The following is a 5,935-nucleotide window of genomic DNA, read 5'->3' as shown; positions in this document are numbered from 1 at the left end:
GAGTAGTGATGACACAGCCAGAAGATATAATGAGTATCTCATGTGGAATGGGGACATTACAAAGACATAGAGCAAGGGGTCTGAAACATGGCAGGAGTTTCCTGGCCACATTCTCAAATGATTAGGAACATGGTGTCCTTTTATACCTTGTGGAAATCTACTGTATAGTTACTATTCTTTAAGCACAGTTGTCTTCTTTTAGTGGAAAGAAAGGATTTCTCTGTGACATGTTGAATTTGTGTTCCTTTAGGCTAAACTTGCATATACAAAATGTTTTTTAATCAGACAATTTCTGACTGTGTTATTGGAATGAAAAAAAAGAGAAAGATCAAGCTTTCTGGTCCACCTAGTCTGGCACTAACATTTATCTCACATTCACTCCTTCAGCAAGCTCTTAGAAATCTAGATTATGCCAAGCACTGTGCTGGGCACTGAAGTATTAAAGATGACTGTAGTTAGTAATGAGCAAGGCACCGTCACTGCTTCCAAAGGGCCTTAGAGCCCTGGGAAGGGGAGTGGAGGGGACTGGTTGCCATTAACCAGGGTGAGTTTTTCTTTTCACCCAGTCTTCCTTTCTGGATTCTGAAAGCAAAAATGGCCCTTCAAGAACAATGCAAGGAACAAAATCCTTTCTTTCACCTAGCTCTCTAATTTTCTTCTTAAATACACCGAAAACTCTCAGCTGGAATCTGCAGCTTCTTGACCATTGGTGAGGGAAGATTAATAAATTGCCACCCTGCCAGGGAAACTTGGGCACATGTGAGTACTTCCCACTCTGCTTGCATTCTCCGTGGGACCTCTGGGCTTGTATGAATTCATGTACAGAGACAGACATTTTATTCTTGGATGAACTTGGAAGAGGTGAATTAGCCTCCCTGTTTTAGGCATTTAAATTATTCCTTAGTCCTCTTTAAACTATGAAGGGAAATACATTTTATCCCATGCAAATACATATCCAGCCTTTTTTATTTAATTGAGTTCATGAGTCAGTCTCCTATTCTATTTTTATTTACTTATTTGGTAGTTTTGAGGAAATTTTTTCTATTTTACTAACAACCTTAAAATCCTTCTTCAGATTAAGATCAACATCTGAGGCTAGAATTTAAACCCCAGAAAAGGTAGTGAGTAAAGAATCTTTAATTTATGAAACTGAACAAGTTGACTTATCCAAACATCTCTAGGGCTTTAATGGAGGATATCTATAATTCTCTGAATTGTATTCCTTTCACAGTGATATTTTGTAATTCCATTCTATTACCCTTGCTTAACATTAATGAGATAAAAAGATCACATTATGGCGATTGATGTTCTTCAAATTGAATGCACGTTTCCATGTACAAAGCTGTCTGCTAATTTAAAAAACATAGCATGTAACATAGAATCATGACCATGGTCATCACTCAGCTGGGACCAGATAGCATTTTTTATCTATTCATTGGATTTAACAAGGCATGAGATGGAAGCAGAATACAAACTATGGGTAGATTATCCTGTATCCCTCCTTTTGGCCAATTCTTGGCAATCTCAGCAAGGAAACTGAGGCTTCATGTTTCCATGGAAATAAACCTCAAGGTCAAAGGGGCATATGGAAGGTCAGACAATGACAAAGGAACATCTGAGAGGCCATCTGGATGAGTGACCTGACATAATTAGTCATTAATCCCACTCTGGGGAACAATAGAGCTGGCAGAGAGTGTGTTTGGGCTTTGATCGTGGTCTGGGTGATCTCATGGGGAAGAGGGAAAAAAGCCCCACTTGGTAACTAAGCAGATTACCCTGGCATGCTGTTAACTAAAGACAGGGTGGCCGCGGAGGCCAGTGGGATATGCATTTTACATATTAGACTACATTTCCCTTTACTTACCACAGACCCCTCTAGGGCCATGTGGCTTTCGGATTAGCTTCTGGGTAGCATTTTTTACAGTTTACAATGGAAAGAGAGCAAGATTCCCAAAATACGTTGCTTAAAATTCTCAGGCAACAGATGGGAAGATTGCTGAAGAGCCAATGGCATTAGCCAGCTTGGTGTACAGGTGTCAATATTTACTAAGCAAAGTTTGCCAGGGTGCCTTTTGGGACAAAGCAGAGAGAATAGTTAATCAGTAAAACAATAGCAATCAGTCCGTTGTCTGTTTTTAGCAGAATGGTTAGAATTATAAGTTGTCTTAAATGGTGAGAAGTACTCATCGGCATCTGTCTTTCTCTTCAGCTCTTCTTTTTCATGTTTATTAGTCTCAGCTGACTTTGATCAGCTACCCCCCCTCACATGTAGCTAGAATCCTTCTATTTGAGGGTTGGTGATGTTTTGGGATTGGTTCTGTGCATTTTTGTAGGATGTAAAAATGCTAGCAGTCTTTATAAATGCATGTATTTCAGCAACTGCTGAAATCACCCTCTGCCCCCTAGAGATAACTGATTATACTTGCTGTGTAAAGGATGGTGACCAGATGAGGTAGTAAATATATTGGACCAAAGTCTCTTTATTAGAACAGCTTTCTGAATAATGAAATTTAAAAGTCATTGTGAGTTTTTAAATTTTGAAACCAGAATCTGATTAGTCATTTGGGTGTTATGTTACGGAAAACTACACATGAGACAGTAGAAAGGGTACTGGGCTGAGAGTCAGGAGATAAGATATGTTCTTGTCCTAACTCTGCAACTAATTTACTGTGCAGTCCTTTTTGAGCATTTCTTTATCTGTAAAATGATAAATTACACTATATCAGGAATAGAAACTATATTTTCTCTTGTAATGCCAATACAAGATGATAGGTTAGTGGCTGCCTGGACATCCACTGATAATTGTGAAAGACTCAGAGGGGTATCTAGGCTTAGTGCTAAAGAGTGGTTAGTAATGTCTGCATTGGTGTGGGAAGAGAAGTGCCAGCATGAGCACTTAACATGTATATCTCCAGATTTGATTATTATTATATCACACGCAGTTCTAATTTTAAGAAACTTGGGGAGAGATTATTTATCTAAATACTTTTAAAAACTCTTTAAAGTTCTGTGACACATCACTATTTGTGGTAGTAGCAGTAGAAGCAGCAGCAACAGCATAGGACTCTTGAAGTAGGTTAGATCTGGAAGTTATTGTGCATGCAAAAATCAGATTAGCTTGGTTGACAAAATGTAATTATAGCTCCTCAAGCAGAATGTGAGCATCCAAGTCATAAGGACCACTAATGAAATCAAAATGACAAATCAATGCTGAATGTAACCAATGACAGAAAATATCCCTTAAATAGTGTTATAGACAATTTCCACATGGCCTTGCTTTTTCTGTCCATTAGAAGGTGGATTTTGGAAGTACATCTCAAACTGGTGATGCAGAATTTTGTCCCTCCTTCTTATCCATTGAATCTGTTATATCGGGGTCCGCTTCTCTTCTGTGACATGTTAATTCACAGGAGTGATTTATTCAAGCACTCTCATTGATGCAAAAGATCTTTTATTTCTCTTCTATGATAAAAGGTACCTTAAATCAGCATACAATATAACTTGAGTAATCATAATAACTTGAGTTATTTATGGTAATATACTAACATCTTTTGTTTATGGAATGTCTACCTGTGAGAATTTTACAAATGGAGTTTCAAGTGTTTTGAAAATTGTAATACTCAGTTTCCACTAAAACCATGAGTCCCCCAACCACATTCACCGTTGAGTCCATGAGTTCTAGGAAACCAAGTTTCTGAAGACAGCCACATTTGGGGAAGAGCTGACTTTTGCTTCTTTGCCTTAAACTTCCTCTAGCTGCTTCAGCTCACTGCTAGAGAAGTTTGTGAATAGGTACTAATGTGCCCAGCATTCTTGACACTCAGAGGGGATCATTTATGAACATCCCTTCCTCATTACAACATAATTATTTTCAGAATAATTAAGAAATAAACAATAACTCATGGCCAGAAAATAAACACAGACAATGAAGAGAATTTTATTCTCAAAATTTGATTCTCTTTTTTTATGAAATGGTAAATGGAATATTTCACAATTTTTGTGAGCCAATCAAGAAAGGATTTTAAAGCTGGTTTTCACTGCTCATCGTTCAAGAATAACACTAGCTATTTGCAAATTTTGTGTGTGTGTGATTAACCTCATTTGCAACAACAACAAAAAAAATCAGAGAAGAAAAAAATCCACACAGCTATCCCTGTTTAGTTCGTATCTACTATTTAAATGAAAGACTTCGTAGTCTCTTAGGGGTTGCAGACATAAGTTACACAGGCTCAAATAATTTTAACCTGTTATGAACTACTTTCTAAATGAACATGTATAGCTGAGTCTGTGTGTGTGTTGTAGTATAGCTGTAAAACTGGGAACTCTGTGTTAACTTCCATGTCAAAAATAATGCCTATTAAATGAGGAGTAACAAAAAATGTGATCACTTACAGCTTTCACATTAGAACTCAAACAGCAATCACAATAATTGCTTGGAACTTAGAGAACATATTTTGGGAAGAAGCGTTTTATCACTGACATGGGTAAGAATTGTGCACTCATGGTGAAAATAAAAAGTGAACTAATTTTTGGCCAGTTTTATTATTTTTTAAAAAATTCTCTACATTGCAGCCTCTTCCTGCCTGTGTTAAATGCTGTTTTGCCTTTCACCCTTGGTACTCCACTGAGTGTGGGAAAAGACTGCCTGAATCCATCATAGGGAATTGCATCCCACCACCTTCTTACACAAGTGTAACAGATCCTGAAGGTTCTCGGCCTGATTTGAGAAGATTATGGGGATTTTAAAATGATGAGATGCAAATTGTTTCACAAGTTATCAGGATATAATTTGTATCAATATCCCCACACCTTCTATTAACGTTTTGTTCCAAAAGCCTCACATGTGGTGGAAGGGTAAAGCCAGACATCCCATTTATGTACAGTTCCCGCAGTCAACTTTGTCTCTTTCCTAGTACTGTACAGCACAGGTCCACTTTCATAAAACTTCTTCCCAAGACCACTCCCCTTCAGTTCTTAATTTCTACAGGTCTCTCTAATATATTTTCTATTCAGTATTTACAATTTATGACCATTTCTTAGTACATCACCAAACAAATCCAGATTTCTTCTCTACTTTCCAGAGAAGACTTCTCAGACCCTTAAGTAGAATTAATTTCTTCCTTCACTGAGATCCTAAACACTTTGCTCAAACCTCTATTCTTATTATACATATCATAATTATTTATTTATATAAATGTTGAGCTTCCTCCTTAGAATGTGAACTCTCAAACAGTAAAAATTTGTTTTTTTTCTCTCTAGTATCTTCTATAGCTGAGCAATAGTCAATAATCAATAAATTATTGTAAAAATAGTGAATGATTGAATGAAAATTTAAATTGGTGTTCTCTGAGACTAACTCACTGTAATCTCCTTGTCCTGTAGATTTTGTCTAAACATACTTCTATTTTTTTTTTCCTGAAAAAAATCATGCCTTGACTTTTATAGGATTTATTTTTATATACAAGTAATATCTTTATTTAATGATCTGTCTTGCTCTTTGCTGTGTCTCTAGTACCTGATACAGTGCCTGGCACCAAGCAGATGCTCAAAAACAGACATTGAATGGTTGTAAATATGGAGACCAAAAAAGCAAAATAATGCAAATTACAGATGCTATCAATGTTTCCTCCAGTTGGACAAACATTTCTATGTTTCTTAGGGAAAACAAAAGGCAAAATTGGTGAGGGGGTGATTGAGGGAAGATTACAGAGTTGGGAATGTGCTATCAAGCTCCAGTGCCCGTGCCCACTGCTTTTCAGTTCTTGCCCTCTCCAGTGGAAGCAGGACTCCTGGAATGATCTGTGTGAACCCAGGGAGATTCAACATGAAATTTTTGCTTCAGTTCCACTTGGACAGGCCCCACTCTCCAATTCTTACTACAAACACCTCTTCTGCCAGGCTCCACTGTACTCCCAGGTCCCTCCAGAGCAGAGGG

The 5,935-nt window shown here is 37.4% G+C and overlaps 1 annotated feature.

Annotated features, from left to right (window-relative positions):
• Window positions 843-2,322: an enhancer, noted in NCBI's record as "VISTA enhancer hs576". NCBI's record gives its function as "enhancer in: midbrain (mesencephalon)[9/9] | cranial nerve[6/9]" and the evidence as "EXISTENCE:transgenic organism evidence [ECO:0001131][PMID:17130149]".

Source organism: Homo sapiens, chromosome 6, assembly GCF_000001405.40.
Source record: "Homo sapiens chromosome 6, GRCh38.p14 Primary Assembly".
NCBI classification, from domain to species: Eukaryota; Metazoa; Chordata; class Mammalia; order Primates; family Hominidae; genus Homo; species Homo sapiens.
Note: the sequence above shows the minus strand (reverse complement) of the source record. Positions and strands in the feature narration are given on the sequence as shown.